Consider the following 23,966-nt stretch of genomic DNA (forward strand, 5'->3'; position numbering starts at 1 on the left):
ACTAAATAATGTATTGATGTTAAGGTACATTGACTGAGATTTTCCCCCCTTTTCTCCTAATCTATATTCTTTCTCTATTGAAGTACTCTTGGTATTTTGGGTGGTATAAGAGATTGTTCTGCATGTTGTGCAATATTTATCACTTCTGTCCTTCACTCTTTTTTTTTTTTCTTTTTAAATTGAGATAGAGTTTCATTCTTGTTGCCCAGGCTGGAGTGCAATGGCGCAATCTCGGCTCACTGCAACCTCTGCCTCCCAGGTTCAAGCAATTCTCTTGCTTCAGCCTCCCAAGTAGCTGGGATTACAGGCATGCACCACCACACCTGGCTAATTTTTTGTATTTAGTAGAGATGGGGTTTCTTCATGTTGATCAGACTGGTCTTGAACTGCTGACCTCAGGTGATCCACTCACCTTGGCCTCCCAAAGTGCTGGGATTACAGGCATGAGCCACTGTGCCCGGCCTGTCCATGCTTATGAACTCCAGTCATGAACACTCCTTCTGTGTCTTTCTCCTCACCCTTCTGTGTCTTTCTCCCCACCTTGCATTATAAAAACAAAGATTCTCACATGTTTCCAGATACCCTTCTAGGGGAACAATACCTTCCTTAGTTGAGAACTGCTGCTCTAGATCCATTTACAATTTTACCCATTTTTAAGTGTACAATTCAGTGGCATTAATTATATTCACAATGTTTTGCAAACATCAACACAGTCCATTCCCCAAACGCTTCATCATCAGAAACAGAAGCTCTGTACCCATTAAACAATAATTCTTCATTCTTCCTCTCCTCAGCTCCATTTTAGTTTCCATCTATGAATTTGCTTATCTAGATAACTCATATAAATGGAATCGTATAGTATTTGTCGTTTGGAAAGACATACTGTTTTTTAATGGGCTTGGTTATTCAGTTCAGGTTTAATGTTATGACTGATATTCTTGCTTTTGTTGCTTCTATAACTTTATCATGGATCTGATGTTATTGTTTCTTCATTTTCCCTTTGTTTTTATTAATTTTAAAGTTTATTTCCATTAGTGGTTGCCTTCGTGTTTCTTGGTCTTAGTTAGAAGCATGTGATTGTCCTACTACTTGGAAACAAAATACATATCATTTTATCACACCAGGGTCACACTATTTCTTGTTCTCTTCTACACAAGGAAATCAAAACCTCTGGAATAGTTTTTACTTCTTGCTGCTTTTCCTGTCGCTTCTGTCTGCCTCCTTAAGACTTTTGAGAAGCTTCTATTTCCTCCCTCTCCTATTTCCCAACTCCTAGATTTTTCTAATAAAGTTTTTAAAAAGATTTACCTTATAGCATGTTCCCTTTTAAAAGCACTTTGGGGCTGGATGTGATGGCTCATGCCTGTAATCCCAACACTTTGGGAGGCCGAGGCTGGAGGATTGCTTGAGGCCAGAGTTCGAGACCAGCCTGGGAAACACAGTGAGATTCCATTTCTACAAAAAATTAGCCAAGGCTGGGTGTGGTGGCTCATGCCGGTAATCCCAGCACTTTGGGAGGCGAAGGCAGGTGGATCACCTGAGGTCAGGAGTTCGATACCACCCTGGTCAACATGGTAAAACCCTGTCTTTACTAAAAATACAAAAATCGGCTGGGTGTGGTGTTGTGCACCTGTAATCCCAGCTACTTGGCCAGCTGAGGCACGAGAATTGCCTGAACTTGGGAAGCAGAGGTTGCAGTGAGCCACGATTGTGCCACTGCACTCCAGCCTGGCTGACAGAGTGAGACTCCGTCTCAAAAAAAAAAAAAAAAAAAAAAAATTAGCCAGTCGTGGTGGCACGTGCCTGTAGTCCCAACTACTCAGGAGGCTGAGGCAGAAAGATCCTTGAGCACAGGAGTTTTAAGTTACGAGCTTATCATGCCACTGCACTCCAGGCAGGGTGACAGGGAGAGACCCTGTCTCAACAAAAAAAAAAGTACATTGAGAACATTCTTCCCTGATACAGCAAGGCAGAGAAGTAACTGGTGATTGAGAAAAGAGAGCTGGAGAAGATGTACCAAATCCCTTCTAAATTTGACTCTTCTTTTGATAAGATTTCTAGGGAATTATCTAACTCCACCCCCTTTTACCACACCATTCCCTGTTATCCTATGAGACTCAAGTCCTGTTTGAACCTTTCTGACATATATGCAAAAGTGATTTGAGTACGGCAGGGTTACAAAGGTAGGTTTGTTTTTGGGATGCACAGGTCTCCTCTGATGGGTGACTTTGGCTCCAGAATTCTTCAACAGCCTTACCAACCTTTCTTAGAACTGTGCTGATTCTTACTGCTCAAGCTTCCTTTCTTGTCTCCTCTACAGGGATCACACCTACACCCAGCTTTCTGTAGCCCATTTTCCTTCACAGGTGTTCCCTTAGTAAATCTCTTATATTAATAATCTCATTAGCTTCTTTTGTTTCTGTTTTTTCTTTTTTTTTTTTTTGAGACGGAGTCTCTGTTGCCCAGGCTGGAGTGCAGTGGCATGATCTCGGCTCATTGCAACCTCTGCCTCCCAGGCTCAAGCGATTCTCCTGCCTCAGCCTCCCAAGTAGCTGGGATTATAGGTGCCTGCCACCGTGCTGGCCAATTTTTGTATTTTTGGTAGAGACGGGGTTTCACTATGTTGACCAGACTGGTCGCGAACTCCTGACCTCAGGTGATCCACCCACCTCAGCATCCCAAAATGCTGGGATTACAGGTAGAGCCACCATGCCCACACCCGGCCTGGTTTTTTCTTTCTTTTTTCTTTTTTAGACAAAGTTTTGCTCTTGTTGCCTAGGCTGGAGTGCAGTAGCGTGATCTCGGCTCACTGCAACCTCTGCCTCCTGAGTTCAAGCGATTCTCCTGCCTCAGCCTCCCAAGTATCTGGGATTACAGGCACCTGCCATCAAGCCTGGCTAATTTTTCGTATTTTTAGTGGAGATGGGGTTTCATCATGTTGGCCAGGCTGGTCTCGAACTCCTAACCTCAGGTGATCCACCTGCCTCGGCCTCCCAAAGTGCTGGGATTATAGGCGTGAACCACCGCACCAGGCCCCATCAGCTTCTTAAAAGGCTTCTTAAACTAACACCAGTCAATGTGGAATGTCTGGCACATAGTAAGCAGTTAATACATGTTACTTTTGTTATAGTAAACTAAATAAAAGATGATGGGGACTATCATGGTAATGGGAGGGAAACGTCCACATTAGAGAGACATTTGCATGATAAATATAATAGGACTGTGATTGAATATAAGGGATAAAAGGGGGTTAGTTTGCCCAATTTTTTTCTTATCACTTCACATTTTCACATTTTACTTTACAGGGTAGCCACATTGATGTGCTTATAGTCCACTGCAGTTACCTTAGTCATCCACAATTCTTTTTTTTTTTTTTTTTTTGAGACAGAGTCTTGCTCTGTTGTCCAGGCTGCAGCGCAGTGGTGCAGTCTCGGCTCACTGCAACCTCCACCCCCGGGTTCAAGCAATTCTCATGCCTCAGCCTCCCAAATTGCTGGGACAACAGGCGTGCCTCACCACACCAGGCTAATTTTTGTATTTTTTTTAGTAGAGACGGGGTTTCACCATGTTGTCTAGGCTGGTCCTGAACACCTGGCCTCCAGTGATCCACCAACTTTGGCTTCCCTAAGAGCTGGGATTGCAAGCTTGAGCCACTGCACCTGGCCCACAATTCTATATACTGTCGATTTTTTTTGATAAAATATCCTCTCTCCTATTTTTGTACACCTTTGCCTGGCAAACTCCTATTTTTGGAGATTAAGCTCAGGAACCAACTATTCCAGGAAGCCTTTCCTTTTCCTCTCTACCTCTCACTCACCCTTACCCTGTCCTTGAGTTCCTAAACCATCTTTTGTTTATATGCATAAAATAGTTGTAAACATATTATAATCAATTTTTCTATCAGTTTCTTTTTTTTTCTTTTTTGAGACAGAGTCTTGCCCTGTTGCCCAGGCTGGAGTGCAGAAGTGCAGTCTTCGCTCACTGCAACCTCCGCTTCCAGGGTTCAAGCGATTCCCTTGCCTTAGCCTCTTGAGTACCTGGGACTACAGGAGCGCACCACCACGCCTGGCTAATTTTTGTATTTTTAGTAGAGATGGAGTTTCGCTATGTTGGCCAGGTTGGTTGCGAACTCCTGGCCTCAAGTGATGTGTCCACCTCGGCCTCCCAAAATGCTAGGATTAAAGGCATGAGCCGCCATGCCCGGCCTGTTTCTTTTTTAAAAAAATTGTTTTTAGAGGCAGGGCATTACTCTGTCGCTCAGGCTGGAGTGCAGTGGCACAATTGTAGCTCATTGTAACCCTGAACTTCTGAGTTCAAGTGATCTTCCCTCAGCCTCCTGAAAAGCTAGGACTACAGGCATGTGCCACCATGCCCAACTAATTATTTTATTTTATTTTTGTATAGATGTGGTCTTGCCATGTGGCCTAGGCTAATCTCGAACTTCTGGCCTCAAATGATCCTCCTGCCTTGGCCTCCAAGAGTGCTAGGATTACAGACATGAGCCAATATGCCTGGCCCAGTCTCTTCTTTTAGACTCTAGATTCTTTTAGTCATTAGATGAGACTGTATAGGTATGCAGGAGTCATTTAATCATTTTGTAATTTATTCTAAGAGTATTGGGAAACCATTAGAGGATTTAAGTATGGGGTAATATGATGTGACTTGAGTTTTGTAAAGATCACTTTAGCTTCTTGTTTAATAGATTGGAGGGTTTCAAGAGTAGATTTGGTTTAGTGTGAGTTCTGGAGCCTGATTTCCTGGCTCCACCATAAACTTAACTGTATAATCTTGGATTGTTTTTCCTTCAATTTCCCCATCTGTAAAATAAGGATAAAATAGTAGTACTTTAGAATTGCTATGAAGATAAAATAAGTTAAAAGAACTTAGAATAGTATCTGGCTGGTGCCTCATGCCTGTAATCCAGCACTTTGGGAGGCCAAGGCAGGTGGATCACCTGAGGTCAGGAGTTCGAGACCAGCCTGACCAACATGGCAAAACTCCATTTCTACTGAAAATAAAAAAATTAGCCAGTGGTGCATGCCTGTAATCCCAGCTACTTGGGAGGCTGAGGCAGGAGAATCATTTGAACCCAGGAGGCGGAGGTTGCAGTGAGCCAAGGTGGCGCCATTGCACTTCAGCCTGGGCAACAAGAGTGAAACTCCATCTCTAAATAAATAAATAAATAGTATCTGGCACATGATAAGCAGTCAGGTGTTACCTTTTATATTGTTATTTAACAAATATTTGTGTGCTTATAGCATCCTAGGCACTGGACCAGATACCATTATCAAGCTGAATTGAACCAGTGAAAAAAGCATTCAAATTAATATGGAGACAAAACTTTGGGCTCTACTAGTGTCTCTAAAAATTGGAATATAGGCCAACCCCAGTGGCTCATGCCTATATGCTGGCCCTTTGTGAGGCTGAGGCGGGTGGATCACTTGAGTTCAGGGGTTCATGATCAGTCCAGACAACATAGGGAGACCGTGTCTCTACAAAAAATAAAAAATTAGCCAGACATGGTGGCACATACCTGTGGTCCCAGCTAGTCGGGAGGCTGAGGCAGGGTTGAGCCCAGGAGGTTGAGGCTGCAGTGAGCTGTGTTCATGCCACTACACCTCAGACTGGGCAACAGAGTGAGACAGTGTCTCAAAAAAAAAAAAATTAGAATATAAAACAATTTGATTATTGACATGTTGTAATTCTGGAGTTGTTTTATTTGGATTTCTTTGACTTTTTTTAATACTAGAGGCTCCATTATGAATTGAATGAATCACTGGGGAACATTTTTTGAATGAATGATTCTTCACTATGACCCTGTCCTTTCGTTGTTTCTCTGATTTACAACTTGGTCATTTGATTTACAACTTGGTAATTTTTTTACTTTTTTTTTTATATTTTAATTTATTATTATTATTTTTTTGAGACACAGTTTCACTCTGTTGCCCAGGCTGGAGTTCATTGGTGCCATCTTGGCTCACTGCAACCTCCGCCTCCCGGGTTCAAGTGATTCTCATGCTTCAGCCTCCCAAGTAGCTGGGATTACAGGTGCACACCACCACGCCTGGCTAATTTTTGTATTATTAGTAGAGATGGGGGTTTTACCATGTTGGCCAGGCTGGTCTTGAACTCCTGACCTCAAGTGATCTGCCCACCTCAGCCTCCCCAAGTGCTTGGATTACAGGCTTGAGCCACTGCCCCTGGCCTACAACTAGGTAATTAAGAAATTAATTTTCTGAACATGCTGTACTAGTATTAAATATATTTCTATAATGAAGAACTTTTTTGTAAACTATGTCAGCTTTATAAGTTCTGAGTTTTTGTATATCAATTTATGATAGCTTTTGTTTTTGTTTTTTTGTTTAAAGGAGAAACAGTAATTGATGTGTAAATGGGTAATATATGGGGAAGCTAGGAGATATGCTTTATTGTGATTTAAGTGACTAATTTTTTTAAAAAGACAAAATAGGCTGGCCCACAATCCCACCATTTTGGGAGGCTGAGGCAGGAGAATTGCTTGAGGATTTGAGTTCAAGCCCAGACTGGGCAACATAGCAAAACCCCATCTCTACCAAAAATTTAAAAAACTAGACAGGTGCATGCTTGTAGTCCCAGCTACTCAGGAGGCTGAGGCAGGGGGATCCCTTGAGCACAGGAGTTTGAGACTGCAGTGAGCTATGGTTGTGGCACTGCACTCCAGCCTGGGTGACAGAGTATATAACAAAGCTGGGCATGGTGGCTAACACTTTTAATTCCAGCACTTTGGAGACTGAGGCAGGAGGATCCCTTGAAACAAGGAGTTCAAGACCAGCCTGGACAACATAGCAAGACTGTTTCTACAACAAAATTTAAAAAAAAATTAGGCGTGGTGGCATGCTCCTATAGTACCAGCTCTTAGAAGGCTGAGGAGGGAGGATCGCCTCAACCCAGGAGGTCAAGGCTGCAGTGAGCCGTGATTGTGCCAGTGCACACTAGCCTGGGCAACATAGTGAGACCCTGTCTCTAAAAAATAAAAATAAAAAAATTTTTAAAAATAATTAAAAAGGACAAAATAGTATACATCTATTGTGTTAAAGAATTAAAAGGATTTGTAGTTGTTTTTGCACAGGAAAATATTAATAGCAGTTAACTTTGGGCAGTGACATTGGGAGATGGAGACATGCTTTCATAACTAAATTTTATGTGGTAAGTAGCAGAGAATTAAAGAGGAAAACAATGGCTAAAGAAAATAAAAATAGAAACAAATGTGTATGTGAGGCAATTACAAGCGTACTTGGTTTATATGAGTGAATTCAGACACCATTTACTTGGTTCTAATATGGCCCATGGAAACTGTACTGAAATAGAATTTAAGATGTTTTGTTCAGTTCTTGTTTCATTATTAATGTTTGTTTACCTACTTTATATTCACAGGGATGTGCATGCAGTCTGTCTTTGGGATGATAAAGGCCCAGCAAAAATTCATCAGGCTTTAAAAGAAGATATTCTTGAGTTTATTAAGCAAGCACAGGCAGTAAGTTCTACATGCTTATTTTAGACTTGTTTTAAAACTACTCAGATAATATCATATTTTATTATTTTGAAAGTAGAACTTCTTGAAGTAATTTCAAAATATTGCATTGACTTTTGACACATTTGTTAAATAAATTTATTAATGAAATGATCGTCATTAGTTGGATTATTTTTTTCCCACAGTGATACTTCTGTCAAGAGAGTACATATTATATTTAATTAAAAGATGCTATAGCGAATTCAGTTTTTTATATTTTTTGGGAGTCCCCACCACCATTATTTTTTGGCTACACATCAGTCCACACAGATCTTTTTTTTTCTCTCATGACTAATACCTCTTCTCAAGTTGACAGTAATTTCTTCAATTCCAGATCCTTCTCCAATTGTAATTTATTTAGACTGTCCTTTGTATTGCTGTTGCTGAGCTGAAATTCAGCACTCTTACATTGCTGTTATGTATAAATCAAAAATTTTGATCAAAAATCAAAAGCTCATTTAGGCATTAGATCAGTAATGCAAGAGTTAGTTTTGTTTTGTTTTTTTTCTGTGACACCTTGTAATGTTGTTTCAAATCAGCCACGGCCTCTCTTATGAATAAATCCCTTATCATTTTGAGGAGGACCCTAAGGACGTGAGATTATTTTCCTTTCTATAACATGAGGTCTGGGACAGGGCACAGTAGCTCAGGCCTGTAATCCCAGCACTTTGGGAGGCTGAGGCAGGCAAATTGCTTGAGTCAAAGAGTTTGATACCAGCCTGGGAAACATGGTGAGACCTTGCCTCTATACAAAATAAAAAATTACCCAAGCATGATGGTGCACACCTGTGGTTGCAGCCACTCGAGAGGCTGAGGCAGGAGAATTGTGTGAGCCTGGAAGATTGAGGCTGCCGTGAGCCGTGATCATGCCATTGCACTCAGCTTGGGCAGCAGAGTGAGACCCTGTCTCAAAAAAAGGCAAAAAAACAAAAAGGTCTGGTCTGATGGCTAGAAGGCTAGGCTAGAATTTCTTATTTTTTAGTTGGATCATTCCATTAATGTCTTGTACAACATTAGTAAAAGTTGTTTGTTAAATCGTGTTATTAAATACTAAAAGGTGCTTAGCAGTTGAAAATTAAAACTGAGTTTTTTCTATGTATGACTTAAGATATTGAAATCAAGTATATGATTGGCATATATTTTAATTTTGCTAGTAGCCACTACCATGATGGAGTAAGACTAATCTATTGGATATTACTTAAGAAATTAAGTGTTTTATTGATAGTTTCTTGACAAATTTTTTAAATTGTAGTTTTATAGGAAGTTATCTTTTAATGAAAATCTGTTTTCAAGCACTTAGAAAATTAAATGTTTCAGTATCAATTTAAAACTATTTTCTTAGAACTAATTTAGAGATACAGTTTCTACTTGCATTGGGAAATGTACCACGTTTTCTTTTTATGACTTGATAAAGATAAATTATGTTTATTTCAGATAGATAGAGCTTTATTCTTCAGTTTCTGGAAATAAACTTATGAAGAATTACCTTGGATGTTCTTAACAGATGTTAAAAAATATGCTGAACACTGGCAAAAAAAAGTAGGGGAGGGTTTCACGGTAACATGACTGAATAAAGTCTGGAAATGTAGACCTCAGCAAGAACCCAAGAATGGGATTTAGCACCACTAATTCTGAGCAGTTAATAGGAGTAGCAATGCCAGACATGGGTCTTAAAAAGACCCATCTTAAAAAGATTTTTAAACGCTTAAGAAATTTTTTTTTTTTTTTCATGAATCATTTTACTTAGGCAATCTTCAGTTGAACATACCTTGTTAGGAAGGACCAAATCTCCCAGATGGTTGAAAGGCAATATGCATTGAAATGTTTATAACATTTTTTAAAGAACAAAAAAAAAAGTAAAAATAATAAACATAGGTGGAGTCTTTTTTGTTTAACCTAGATTAACACAACTGTTTTATTTGTTCACAATTCTGTGGCTTAGCAATTTGGGCTGGTCTCAGATGAATTTGCCTAAGCTTATTAATGCAGCAGCAGTGGGCTGTTGGACATGGTGGTCTAAGAGAGCATTAAAACTCATATATGGTTTTTGATGTGGCTTTCTTTTCACTGTGTGGTTTGTCATTCTCAAGGAGACCAGCCTTTGAGATGAAAGTGGAATCTACAATACCTATTCATGGATAGACTGAGAAATCTTTCACTGTTACATCGGTGGCATTCTGTTGGTCAAAGTAAATCACAGGACCAGCCCAAACTCTAATAGTGGGGAAATAGACTCCACCACCTTTTTTTTTTTTTTTTTTTTTTTTTTTTTTTTTTTTGAGGTGGATTCTCACTTTGTCGCCCAGGCTGCAGTGCAGTAGCGCGATCTCGGCTCACTACAACCTCCGCCTCCTGGATTCAAGCGATTCTCCTGCCTCAGCCTCCCGAGCAGCTGAGATTACAGGCGCATGCCACCATGCCTGGCTAATTTTTGTATTTTTAGTAGAGATGGGGTTTCACCATGTTGGTCAAGCTGGTCTCAAACTCATGACCTCGTGATCTGCCCGCCTTAGCCTCCCAAAGTGCTGGGATTACAGGCATGAGCCACCGCACCTGCCGTGACTCCACCACCTTTTAAAAACTTGAGATATAATTAATATACCATAAAATTTACTCTCTTAAAGGATATGATTCAGTGGGTTGTAGTATATTTCATAAAATTGTGCAACCATCACCCAATAATCCCAGAATATTTTCATCACCCTAAAAAGAAATCCTATACCTATGAACAGTCACTCCCTTCTCCCAACCCACTAAATCACTAATCTGTTGTCCCTATGGATATGTCTATATTTGACATTTTCTGTAATTGGAATCATAATATGTGGCCTTTTGTGACTAGTTTTCTTTCACAATATTTGTTTCTCTTTATGGCTGAATAATATCTATTGTTTGGATATACCATATATTGTGGGGTTTTTTGGTTTCTTTTTTCATTTGTTTAGTTTTTTTTCAAGCCAGGGTATTGCTCTGTCGCCCAGGCCAGAGTGCAGTGGTGCAATCATGGCTCACTGTAGCCTCAACTGCTGGGGCTCAAGCAATCCTCCCACCTCAACCTCCTAAGTAGCTGGGACCACAGGCACGCACCAACACACCCAGCTAATTTTTTGTATTATTTGTGGAGATGAGGTCTTGCTATGTTGCCCAGGTTGGTCTCAAATTCCTGAGCTCAAGCAATCCTCCCGCCTCAGCCTCCCAAAGTGCTGGGACTACTGTATGAGCCACCACGCCTGGCCCATATATTGTTTATCCGTATTTCAGCTAATGGATATTTGGGTTGTTTCTATTTTTTATCTATTTTGAATAATGCTGCTGTGAACATTCGTGTACAAGTTTTTTTGTGAACATGTTTTAATTTCTTTTGGATATAAGAGCTTGTACAATAATTTAAAAATTATGTACAATTTAAATTTTGGCATGAATATGTTCTTAATTTTTCAAAGCAACTGCATTTATTTCAAATTGGTACACCTCTTTTTTTCAGCGAGTACTGAGCCATCAAGATGATACGGCTTTGCTAAAAGCATATATTGTTGAATGGCGAAAGTTCTTTACACAATGTGATATTTTACCAAAACCTTTTTGTCAACTAGAGATTACTTTAATGGGTAAACAGGGCAGCAATAAAAAATCAAATGTGGAAGACAGTATTGTTCGAAAGGTAAGACTATTTTTCTCCTTGTTTTCCTAATATTCTTCAGAAAGAGGGTAATTTGGAAGCATTTGAAAGTAATTTGAACTTTTAAGTGGGTTTTTCTACTTCACATGTCAATTGCTTTTCAGCTCTTAACTAGATTTTATTGAATAATATTCTTTTTTGTCTTTAGCTTCAATCTTCTTTCATCTTTTTATGTGGTCTTAAGCTATAGATCTGCATCTTCAACCATTATCTCCTTTACTTTTCCTTTTTACTTTCTCCTTCTCCTGGTATTCAGTATTTTATTTCTCTATTCTTTCTTTGTACTCTTTTTTTTTTTTTAAACTGGAGTGTCACTCTGTCGCCTAGGCTGGAGTGTGCAGTGGCGCAGTCTGCTCACTGCAACCTCCGCCTCCTGTGTTCAAGCAATTCTCCTGCCTCAGCCTCCTGAGTAGCTGGGACTACAGGCACGTGCTACCACACCCGGCTATTTTATTGTATTTTTAGTGGAGACCAGGTTTCACCATGTTGGCCAGGCTCGTCTCGAACTCCTGACCTCAGGTGATCTGCCTGCCTCAGCCTCCGAAACTGTTGGAATTACAGGCGTGAGCCACTGCACCCAACCTATACCCTTACTAGAAATTAAATTACTTTTCTCCCTGTCTCAAAAATCCCCTTTTATTAGGTTACCTTCTGATATCTTTATGTTTAATTGTGGCTAAACTGCTATCTTTATAATTTCCCTTTTACTTAACTCTTCTATTATAAATTCAGTATATACTGTGCTTATTTTCTATTTAAAAATTGTGTCAAGTAACCAGTCATGATTTAATGGAAAGAACTCAGTGCTGAATATGAAGGGTCCTAGGTTTCCCTTTCAGCTCTTCAAACTCCGTCCTCATTTTCCATATATCTTTCCACTTGTAAGAATAAAATGGGACCGTAGATTTGAAAAGTAAAAAATGCCATTTGAACTTTAGTCAATTTACTGTTTACTGTGATGGTTACAGTAAAACACTCAGGCATTACAATAGTGTAACCTGGGCATTGTTGCCCCATCCCAGCCTTAAAATTTGATCTGATGTTGACAGGGATACTGTAAATTTAGATACCCAGTGGTTCTTCAGTGATAGAAATCACTGCAATATGGGAAATTTGTGCCAAGGGAAAAAAAAAAGTGAAAAACACTTCTGGCTGCGATTTAATTTGTAGTCTCATAATCTTGTCCTCTTTTTTTGGCCATTCTATTGGTTGTGGGAAGCAGCATCCACTTAGTGATTAAGTGTATCAATTCTGGGGCCACAGTTTTTGGATTCAAATCTCAGTGTTGCCACTGATGAGGTGCATAAATGTGGAAAGTTAGCTTTGCTATCTGTACCCCAGGTTTCACATATCTAAAGGGGGGATAATCATAGTACCTATATCAAGATTATGAGGATTAAATGAGTTACATGCAGACAATACATAGAGCAGTCCCAGGTATAGAATGAGTGTTATAAAACTGTTAACTCTTGTTGTTATTGTTGCTGTCATTAATGTATCTCCTACATCTGACCAAGTTTCTTGGAGTACTGATATAATCACCAATGTTTATATACCATTTTTATCATTTTAATGGAACATCTAAACAGTAGATTTGCAGACCTTTTATAAGGTCCAGTATCAGATTTTCAGTTGGTCCTTTTTACATTTTTTATGTGTCTTTACAAACATATGCATATGTCTATTTCAAACACACCAATATATCTGAAATTCAACCATGGAACTATAGGAGAATAAACATTTTCCATGTATTATCATAGTTAATTTTTACAACCACTGAAATTTGCACTATTATTTTGACCATTTTATACATAAGAAAGCAGATAAATAAGTAACAGCTGGGATTCAAATCCAGTTGGATTCTGAAACACTTGTTCTTTATTTACTTTTGTTTTGTTTGAAATGGGCTCTTGCTGTGTTGCCCAGGCTAGAGTGGAATAGTGTGATCTTGGCTTGCTGCAGCCTTGCCCTCCTGGACTTAAGTGATCCTCCCACCTCAGCCTCCCAAGTAGCTGGGACTACAGGCACATGCCAGCATGCCTAGCAAATTTTTGTATTTTTTGTTGTTGTTGAGATGGGTCTTACTGTGTTGCCGAGGCTGGTCTCAAACTCCTGGCCTCAAGTGATCCTCCCACCTTGGCCTCCCAAGGTTTTGGGATTAGACCACACGCAGTCGACCCTTCTTTACCATTATGCTAAATATACTGCTTCCCCGAAGTATTCAAGTGAATGCAACCTAAGTTATTTTGAGACAGGGTCTTACTCTGTCACCCAGGCTGGAGGGCAGTGGCGTGGTCTCGGCTCACTGGGACTACAGGCGTGCACCACCACACTGGGCTATTTTTTTTGTATTTTTTTGTAGAGACAGGATTTTGCCCTGCTGCCCAGGCTGGTCTTGAACTCATAGACTCCAGCGATCCACCTGCCTCGGCCTCCCAAATTGTTGGGACTACAGGCGTGAGCCACTGCACCTGGCCCAGGCCTACAAATTTGATTTCCTTTTTTGGTGTTTGTACATGATACTTTGTATATTAATAATTGAAAATTATGTTACAATTTGTTCTTGTTTTCCTAGCTTATGCTTGATACATGGAATGAGTCAATCTTTTCAAACATAAAAAACAGACTCCAAGATAGTGCAATGAAGCTGGTACATGCTGAGAGATTGGGAGAAGCTTTTGATTCTCAGCTGGTTATTGGAGTAAGAGAATCCTATGGTATGTTCTGAACTTTTATGATCATAATTTCTGTTTCATGGAAATTGTAGAACAATTATGGAATAGCACAATCAAAGTTAAGTTTATTGGCATACAAAGTTACATCTACTTTTTGTACTAGATACTTTTTTTGAGAGTAAGCAAATGATAATTCTGCTTAAAAGAATGTATAAAAATTCATATTAATGTGGTTAATATTTTCTTCATGCCATTAATTTCTTGGCAAGTCGTTTTAGTGAACTAAATTAGATATATAAATTTGAATGTGTAGCTCATAAAAGGTAACTAGTTCATTAAAAGGTTAGGTATTTATGTTTTCAGGAAGTAAGTTACTTCCATGAAAAGGAGAGCATGTAGGAGTACATTCTCTCTTACTTCTAATTTGTTTCCTGTGACTTAGAGTATGCTTCTTCCCCACGCTTCATCCTCCTCCTGGAGGCCTTTCTTAATTCCCAGAGTAAGTTAACTTCTCTCATTTAGTGCTTCACAGTACCTGTGCCTCCTTGGCATAGTACTTTTGTTTAATTGTGTTGTTAGCACCATGTCTTTACTGAACATAGAATGCATGGCACAAAATCACTCTAGGTAGGTATTTATTGAGTTAATGAACCTATAGAGTTACTTTTGACTGGCTTTTCTTCATGGCCCCCATATTCTTTTAGTTATCAAGCCTTTAGATTTTCATTAGCAGTGCTCCTGAAATTTGTTTTTAATTGAACTGCCACCAGACATTAAACTTCACATGCAGAGTTTTGAAATAGTCGTCTTATAATCATCTTATTGCTGTTGTTTAACCCATATGGTGTTCATAAGATTAATGTTTAAGCACTATTTTATTGGTATTTTTTCTACTTACCCCTTAAGTGGTATACCATGCTTTTTTTTTTTTTTTTTAAGAGATGGGGTTTTGCTCTGTTGCCCAAGCTGGAGTGCAGTGGCGTGATCATGGCTCATTGAGCCTCCACCTCTCAGGCTTAAGCAGTCCTCCTATCTCAGTGTCCTGAGTAGCTGGGACTGCAGGCATGCACCACCACACCTGGCTAATTTGTTTCTTTTTTTTTCTTTTTTTGAGACAGAGTCTCACTCTGTCACCCAGGCTGAAGTGCAGTGGCATGCTCGCTGCAACCTCCACTTCCCAAGTTCAAGCAATTTTCATACCTCAGCCTCCAGAATAGCTGAGATTACAGGTGTGTGCCATCACTCCCAGCTAATGTTTGTATTTTTAGTAGAGACGGGGTTTTGCCATAGTGGCCAGGCTGGTCTTGAACTCCTGACCTCAAGTAATCTGCCCACCTTGGCCTCCCGCAGTGCTGGGATTACAAGTGTGAGCCATTGTGTGCAGGCTTAATTTTTCTGTAGACACATGATTTTACTATGTTGCCCAGGGCATCTTCACAACCATTTGTAATTTACCATTCTACCTTACCTTCTATTAACCTTGCAATCCACTTAGACAACCTAGTCATATTTTCTTGTGCTTTTCTGCTTCTGAATATTTACTTACCTTACTAATCTCCGTTTATGCAAATTCTAGTTTATTCTTTAAGATTCAGTTTAAATCCCATTGCTTCTGTGAATGTTTTCTTGATTATTCAGTTAGAAGTCAGTTTCTTACCTATGCAAAAATAGTCTATATTATCTGTATTATTTATTTGTTACTTTACTGCTTTATGCTGTTATCTTTATAAGTTTCTTATGGAGAAGGATTTTGTCTTATATAATTATATGTTCTCTTGAGCATTGTTACCTTGCACATAATGACTCCTCAATATTTATTTCATTTATTATACTCAAAATACTGATTTTGATCATAATTGGAGTAATACTTTATTTTCTGTTTTTCAGTTAACCTTTGTTCTAATCCTGAGGATAAACTTCAAATTTATAGGGACAATTTTGAGAAGGCATACTTGGATTCAACAGAGAGATTTTATAGAACACAAGCACCCTCGTATTTACAACAAAATGGTGTACAGAATTATATGAAATATGTAAGTTAGAACTTAGTATATGTGATAATTTGAGCAATTCCCTTGATATTCTTAAAATGATTGCTATTTTGCTTCTGGACAGGCAGATGCTAAATTAAAAGAAGAAGAAAAACGAGCACTACGTTATTTAGAAACAAGACGAGAATGTAACTCCGTTGAAGCAGTAAGTAATTTTGTAATTGTACATTTTATGGGATTATTTGAAATACGGAAGCATAGGAATGGCAAATAAACAACATAAATAATATTATTTAACAACCAACATTGTTAATTGATTTTAGTTCTTTTTGCCTATGAGCCATAGCACAACTTTGTAGGAGGTATCTTGTTTAGAACACATTGTCCTTTGGAGCTGGTATGCAAGATCAAATCTATTTGCCATACCTGTTCTAGACTTTATTTAATATAATTAATTTTTGGTAAGTTTTCTTTTATTATGTTTTATGCATATCTAAAGTTAGCCATTTTGTGATTTTCATGTTGCAAGTAATATATGCTCCCTTAGGGATACAGTTGACTCTCTTTTTTTGTACCGGTTATGTTCTCTGAAGTGGCTGCAAACACCAAATTAGTGAATAATGAATCATTTATTCCTAGGGGATATTTCTTCTCCTTCTGGGAAGATGTTTCAAACTTCATTTGTCATGAGGTAAAAATATTAATTATTATTATTTTTAGAAACAAAGTCTTGCTCTGTTGCCTAGGGTGGAGTGCAGTGGTGCAATTATACCTCACTGTAACTCCTGGGCATAAGGGCCCCTCCTGCCTCAGCCTCCTAAGTAGCTGGGACTACAGGCACACGTCACCCTGCCTGACTAATAAATATATATATATATATACTTTATCTTTTTTTTTTGAGACAAGGGCTCTCTCTGTTGCCCAGGCTGGAGTGCAGTGGTGCAATCTCGGCTCACTGCAACCTCTGCCTCTCAGGCTCAAGCAGTTCTCCTGCCTCAGCCTCCCAAGTAGCTGGGACTACAAGCGCATGCCACCATGCCTGGCTAATTTTTTTATTTTTAGTAGAGATGGGGTTTCACCTTGCTGCCCAGGCTGATCTTGAACGCCTAAGCTCAGGTGATCCACCTGCCTTGGCCTCCCAGAGTGTTGGGATTACAGGCGTGAGCCACTGCACCCGGCCACCTGGCTAATTTTTTTATTTTATTTTTCATAGAGAGCAGGTCTTGCTATGTAGCCCAGGCTGGTTTTGAACTCCTGGCCTCAAGCAATCCTTCTTGCTCAGCCTCCCAAAATGCTGGGATTATGGGCATGAGCCACAATACCTGGCCTCAAAATATTAAAAAACAAAAAACTAGTCAGTGACAGTACCATGGTAGGTGTTTTCTTTTACGTGGAGGACTGACCTTAGGGTGCTTCAGTATAAGGAAAGTTAGAATCTAGTTGGGACAGTCTTGGAATTGTTGAAACACAACAATAGTATTTCCTCTGGTTCCTTTCAGTCTTTGGAGCCTTGATTTAGATTTGCATTCTCAGGAATAACATTCTAGCTTGCCCATAATCAAATATTTTTCAACTCTGAATGGGATTTAAAATTTTTTTTTACTTTTGACTTTTCTTTGGCTTTGTCCATCTTAAGTGGTAGTCGTGTTTATTTTATTCTTTGTTCAGAAATCACACCGAGTTGGATGTCTTTTCCCTTTGGTTCTTTTAGTTTTTGTTTTGCTTGTCCTTGATTTGCAGTATGTATCCTCTTTGGTTGAAATAGTTTTGATATTGGCAAAAGGAAGGATAATTTAGTGGTTATTTATAGAAGTTCTTTATAGTGATATAAATTCAGGTTTGGGCTACATTCAGAAGGCCGGGAAGGCTGTTGACTTTTTTTTTAAACAGGTGGGCCACAGAGTTGTCCCTTAGGAAGATTAATCTGGTGACAGGAAAGATGGAAGACTGGAATGGGGAGGAGCTGGGAATAAGAAGTAGAAAGCATTTGCAGTAATTCAGGCAAGGTATTAGGCAGACCAAGTAGAGTTACAGAAGTGGGAATGGAAAAGACAAGGGAAGAGAGAAACTTCTTAGAGGTGGAACATTGTATCACATGGATGGGGCTAGATATCACAGAGAATCAAGCCAATAATGTTCTGAGGTTTCAGCCAAGGAGAACTGTGCTGCTACTGAGAGATTAGGTATAAAAATAAGTCTTAGTGAGGGAGAAAGGATGAGTTCATTTTGGAGGATTTGGGTATTTGTTGTAGATTGACGTACATTTAGCACCTGGATGGGAATGTTACAGTTTTATAAGGTGAAATTGTTCTGATCTCCTACTGCAATTTGTATGTTAGTCATATCATAGCCACATTAAACTTATGAACTTTCAACTGTAAAAGGCCAACTAAAAGAATAAGTCCAGAGTAGCTGGGACTACAGGTACGTGCCACTACACCTGGCTAATTTTTTATTTTTTGAGATCACGTCTCACTATGTTGGTAAGGCTTGTCTCAAACTCCTGGGCTCGAGCAGTTCTCCCACCTCGACCTCCCAGAGTGCTAGGATTACAGGCACGAGCCACGGCACTTGGCAGTAACGGTCAAAAGTTTGAAATGAAATAGGATATTTGCATAGTTTCAAAGTATCGTCCCCAAGATATTTACTAAAGGAGAAGCCTGAAGACACCATCTTAATTAAGTGATCAAGGTGAACATCACCAGTAGTAGGACATGCTGACATACCCCGTGATATGATGCACTAAGAAGAATACAATATTATTTCTGTTTTACTCTTGCCAAAAATGTGTAATCTTACTGTAATAATGAGGAAAGATTAAACAATCGCAAATTGATAGCCTACAAAATGACTAATATTCTTCAAGGTGTCAAGACTGTAACAGACTGAAGGACAAAGGAACTGCCACAGATTGTATGAGAGTAGGAGAAATTACAACTATATGCAACATGGGCTTGTGGATAGGATCCTGGAATAGGAGAAGGATATTAGTGGAAAAACTGGTGAAATGAATAAGACCTAGAGTTAAATTGATAGTATCGTACCAATACTATTTTCCTGGTTTTGATAGTTGTACTATAGTTATGTAAGATGTTAATGTTGGGAGAAGTGAGGTGCTATTTTTCTGCTAACTTTTCTGTAATCATTAATCAAAGAAGTTGAAAAAATAAAGAATATTGGCTGGGTGCAGTGGCTCACGCCTGTAATCCCAGCACTTTGGGAGGCCAAGGCAGGCAGATCATGTGGTCAGGAGTTCAAGACCAGCCTGACCTACATGGTGAAACCCTGTCTCTACTAAAAATACAAAAATTAGCCGGACGTGGTGGCGTGCACCTGTAATCCCAGCTACTCAGGAGGCTGAGGCAGGAGAATCTCTTGAACCTGGGAGGCAGAGGTTGCAGTGAGCCGAGATTGCGCCACCACACTCCAGCCTGGGCGATAGAGCAAGACTCTGTCTCAAAAAAAAAAAAAAAAAAGAATATTATGAAGAGTGCCTTTTTTTTTTTTTTTTTTTTTGAAACATAGCCCTGATGTGTCACCCAGGCTAGAGTGCAGTAGTGCAGTCTCCGCTCACTGCAACCTCTGCTTCCCAGGTTCATGTGATTCTCATGCCTCAGCCTCCCGAGTAGCTGGGACTACAGGTGCCCACCACCACACCCGGCTAATTTTTTGTATTTTTAGTAGAGACAGGGTTTCACCGTGTTAGCCAGGATGGTCTTGATCTCCTGACTTCGTGATCTGCCCGCGGCGGCCTCCCAAAGTGCTGGGATTACAGACGTGAGCCACTGCACCCGGCCCAAAGTGATTTTTTTTTTTTTAAATGAAGTAAGAGTAATACTATAGAGTGTATTGGTGGTGGTAATGCTTCTCCTGCTGCTTTTACTTTATGGAATATGGTCAGAAAAGATCTCTGAGGGAATGATATTGGAGTTAAGACCTGAATGATAGGGAACTAGCCTTGTGAAGATCTGAGACAGTTAAGTGTTGCATTAGATGTCTGAAGCCCTACTCTTACAGTTTTATTTTTACTTATAGGAGAGCCACTTAGACCCTACTTAGATCTGATTTTACATACAATTCTAATAAGCTTGATTATCACTCGCTGGGCCTATAGCAGATGAACAGAAATGTATTGAATGTATTTAATGTAAAACAAGGTAAGAGGCTTCCGAGCTGTGCTGCTGAACAGGCATGTTGACAGCAAAAAGTAACACAACCATAAGAAAAGAGCAAGAAAAAAAATTAAGCCAAATGCCTTTTGTGTTTTAAGAGGCAGAGTCTCGCTATGTTGCCCAGGCTGGAGTGCAGTGGCTGTTCACAGGTTTGATCATAGTGCACTGCATTCTCGAATTCCTGGCCTTCAGCAGTCTTCCCACCTCAGCCTCCTGAGTTGCTGGGACAGTAGGCGCATGCAACCACACCCAGCTTTAAGCCAAAATGACTTAAAATTTGTGTTTGGTTTTTAGTTTTTAGGTGATAGTCCTGCATACCTTAGTATTTCCTGGGGAAATTCAATTAGTATTTATTATATACCCACAGTGTGTCAGGCATTATGCTAGTTGGGGATAATAAGATAGACCTAGTCCCTATCCTCAGGATGACACTAGAATAAAATGGATTGTTTATACAATAGAGGAATAGAAAAGTGAATTGGTAGTGTAAGTCTTGATCACTTCAGAATGACCAGGGCACCGATAGGGAGGGAGTGTATTACAGTGGTTAGGGTCATACATGTTGGAATTAGATGAGGATTTGAATCCCACAGATGTTATTTTACCAGCTGTCTGCGTTTTGGCAAGTTATTCAACCTTTGTAGTCTCTCTTTTCCTAACTATAAAATGGAATAGGCCGGGCGCGGTGGCTCACGCCTGCAATCCCAGCACTTAGGGAGGCCGAGATGGGTGGATCATGAGGTCAGGAGTTCAAGACCAGCCTGGCCAACACGGTGAAACCCTGTCTCTACTAAAAAAAAAATACAAAAAAATTAGTTGGGCGTGGTGGCACGCACCTGTAATCTCAGCTACTCGGGAGGCTGAGGCAGGAGAATCGCTTGAACCCAGGAGGCGGAGGTTGCAGTAAGGAGAGATCACACCATTGCGCTCCAGCCTGGGTGACAGAGCGAGACTCTGTCTAAAAAAAAAAAAAAAATTGAATAATACCCTTTTGTATTAGCAGAATTAAATGAAATATGTTACATTAAGCATTTGAGCACTGTGCCTGGCATGATAGCTTTTACTGTTAGGCACTGGTTCAGAGAAAACTGCTTACTAATTCTAAGACAAGTAAAAACTATTTTACCATCTGTGCAAAACTGATTTAAAAAGCTGAATAAGCAACTAGGTCACAAGTTATAAATTATTAACATTAAAATAAGCACTTATTAACCTTCAGTATTTTGGTATTTCAGGCATGGTATCCTCTCCACAGAGGAGGTCTAAAATTAAAAAAAAAAATTAAGCTTGGTGTTCAAAAAGACAAGGTGATCCAGACTTTTGTAGTGCCACTAATGATAGTAGTACAGAAAGAATCTTAGTCAAACTAGAAAGGCCAGGAAATTAATTATTGAATACATTACAGATATCCTTGTATGGTTAAGGGCCTGATAATGATAGAGTAGAATCATAAAGTGGGGGAACTTAAGATAATTTTTAGTTCAACTCTTACGTTGTAGCTGAGGCAAAGCAAACTATTCCTTATACAGAGCTATATAACTAATGAAAATCAGAAATGCTTTTTTTTTTAAACGAAATTTGAGCGAGGTAGAAATAATTATGCAAATTGAATACCACTAAAAGAAGAATCTGGCTGGATGCCGTGGCCCACGCCTCTAATCCCAGCACTTTAGGAGGCCGAGGCGGGTGGATCACCTGAGGTCAGGAGTTCAAGACCAGCCTGGCTAACATGGTAAAGCCCTGTTTCTACTAAAAATACAAAAAATTACCCGGGCATGGTGGTGCGTGCCTGTAATCTCAGCTACTCGGGAGGCTGAGGCAGGAGAATCGCTTGAACCCGGGAGGCGGAGGTTGCAGTGAGATCGCGCCATTGCACTCCAGCTTGGGCAACGAGTGAAACTGTCTCAAAAAAAAAAAGAATAAGAATCTACCATGTCTCGTAGCCTACCTGTCTCACCTTTCATTTTCCAGACCTATGAATTCATTCATTCAACAGGTACTTATTGGAGTGCCTGCTGTGTTTTATAGCAGGCATTATTTTTGAAGAGTTTATAGTCTTGCTGTAGAGGAGGTTAAAACATCAAGCACATTGATAGTTAAAGTGTTTCACCTTGCAGACCTCTGGGGAGAGATTGCTATGGATTTAGAAGTTGTGCTCATCTCAGGCAAACATACAGGAGTTGATGGCATATGGCAAAAAGTTTTTTTCTTCACGGAATCTAGCAAAAGGAGACAGAAAGGGAATACAAGGTGAGAGAGATGGCTTATCACTATACTTTCCATTCAAGATGTATTTTCAAATAACAAGTTATATATTTAGGATCAACTATGTATATAGTAATTTGGTAAATGGGAAGAAATACAAAAGAGGAATAACATGATCTCTGTCCTCAAGAAACTGACTCTCTTAGGACAAGACTCATTTGAAATAAGGAGAGAATTCTATCTAGCAATCTCCCTACTTTTTGCCTAGGTAAAATAATTTTCTGGAGGATTTTTTAATATATAGAAATCTATACCATAATTGTTCTCTTCATTTTTTAAAAAAGCTTTGTAATGAAAGTTTTAAAATATTTACACAAGTAGAGAAAATACTATAATGAACGCTACCCCCATACCCAGTCTTCCAGATTCAACAGTTATCATTATTTTGTCATGCTTGTTTTGTTGATCCTTCTGTTTGTTTTCCTTTCTTTTCCATTCCTTCCTCTCTATTTCCCTCCCCGTTTTGCCTCCCTTCCCTCCTGCATTCCTATATTTAAAAATAAATTTATGATGTTGCTCATTTTTACTCCACACACATTGTATTAGTCCATTTTCACACTGCTATAAAGATAACTACCTGAGACTGAGTAATTTGTAAAGGAAAGAGGTTTAGTTGAACCAGTTCCACATGGCCTGGGAGTCCTCAGGAAACTTAAAATCATGGCAGAAGGCAAAGGGGAGGCAAGGCACATCTTATGTGGCAGCAGGAGAGAGAGAGAGAGAGAGAGAATGTGCAGGAGAAACTGCCACTTTTAAAACCATCAGATTTTGAGAATTCCCTGTCACAAGAACAGCATGGGGGAAACCTTGCTGATCCAATCACCTCCCACCAGGTCCCTGTCTCAACACGTGGGAATTACAATTCGAGATGAAATTTGGCTGGGGATACAGAGCCAAAGCATATCACAATCTATATTATAATGTAACCTATATGCACTGTAGTATTACTAACCAGTTCTCTAATGATGACCATTTTCATTGTTTATAGTTTATTTCTTATAAATAGTGCTTTCTGGAATATCCTTAAATACCTCTATCTTTTTAACATCCTTGTGTATACATCTTTTCTCACACTTGGCTTCCTCTTGGAATAGAATCTCCTGGAAATTAGATAGCTGAGGTAAAAGTCCCTGAACCTTTTACAAATTGCTACACAATAAATACCAAACTGACTTTCAGGAATGTAGTCCCATCAACAGTGTGCTTGTTTATCCATATCGTTGCTGATCTGAGTTTTGTCAGTCTATTGATTCCTACCAATCTGCCAGTATCATAGATTTTAAAATATTTTTTGTGTGCATTTAAAAATTAATGAATATTAATAATTGTAAATATTAAATATAATTATAAATATATAAAATTATAAATAATTAAATATTTATTTTATAAATATAAAATATTTTGTGCATACATACATGGTGTATGTAGTTGTATGTATTTATGGGTTACATGAGACATTTTGATACAGGCATGCAACGCATGATAATCACATCAGGGCAAATGGTATCAATCACCTCAGGCATTTATCCTTTGTGTTACAGACAATCCAATTATATTCTTTTATTATTTTTAAACATAAAATTAAATTATTTTTTACTGTAGTCACCCTGTTATGTTATCAAATACTATGTTTTA

At 39.2% G+C, this 23,966-nt stretch overlaps 1 protein-coding gene across 6 annotated transcripts in view; it reads left to right on the top strand.

The window, feature by feature from the left end:
* The window catches only part of CUL5 (cullin 5), a 98,864-nt gene that overhangs the window by 29,959 nt on the left and 44,939 nt on the right, over positions 1-23,966 (top strand). For 3 of the 6 annotated variants that reach the window (NM_003478.6, XM_017018363.3, XM_011543013.3), the window contains exons 3-7: positions 7,414-7,513; positions 11,034-11,210; positions 13,804-13,945; positions 15,791-15,936; positions 16,019-16,099. In NM_003478.6, the coding sequence (NP_003469.2) occupies positions 7,414-7,513; positions 11,034-11,210; positions 13,804-13,945; positions 15,791-15,936; positions 16,019-16,099 (646 nt within the window). Of the gene's footprint in view, positions 1-7,413; positions 7,514-11,033; positions 11,211-13,803; positions 13,946-15,790; positions 15,937-16,018; positions 16,100-22,226; positions 22,317-23,966 lie in introns of those variants that run through there. The other 3 variants (XM_005271682.3, XM_047427640.1, XM_047427641.1) reach the window with 2 other exon arrangements.

The sequence above is a fragment of the Homo sapiens genome, chromosome 11 (genome assembly GCF_000001405.40).
Source record: "Homo sapiens chromosome 11, GRCh38.p14 Primary Assembly".
Taxonomy (NCBI): domain Eukaryota; kingdom Metazoa; phylum Chordata; class Mammalia; order Primates; family Hominidae; genus Homo; species Homo sapiens.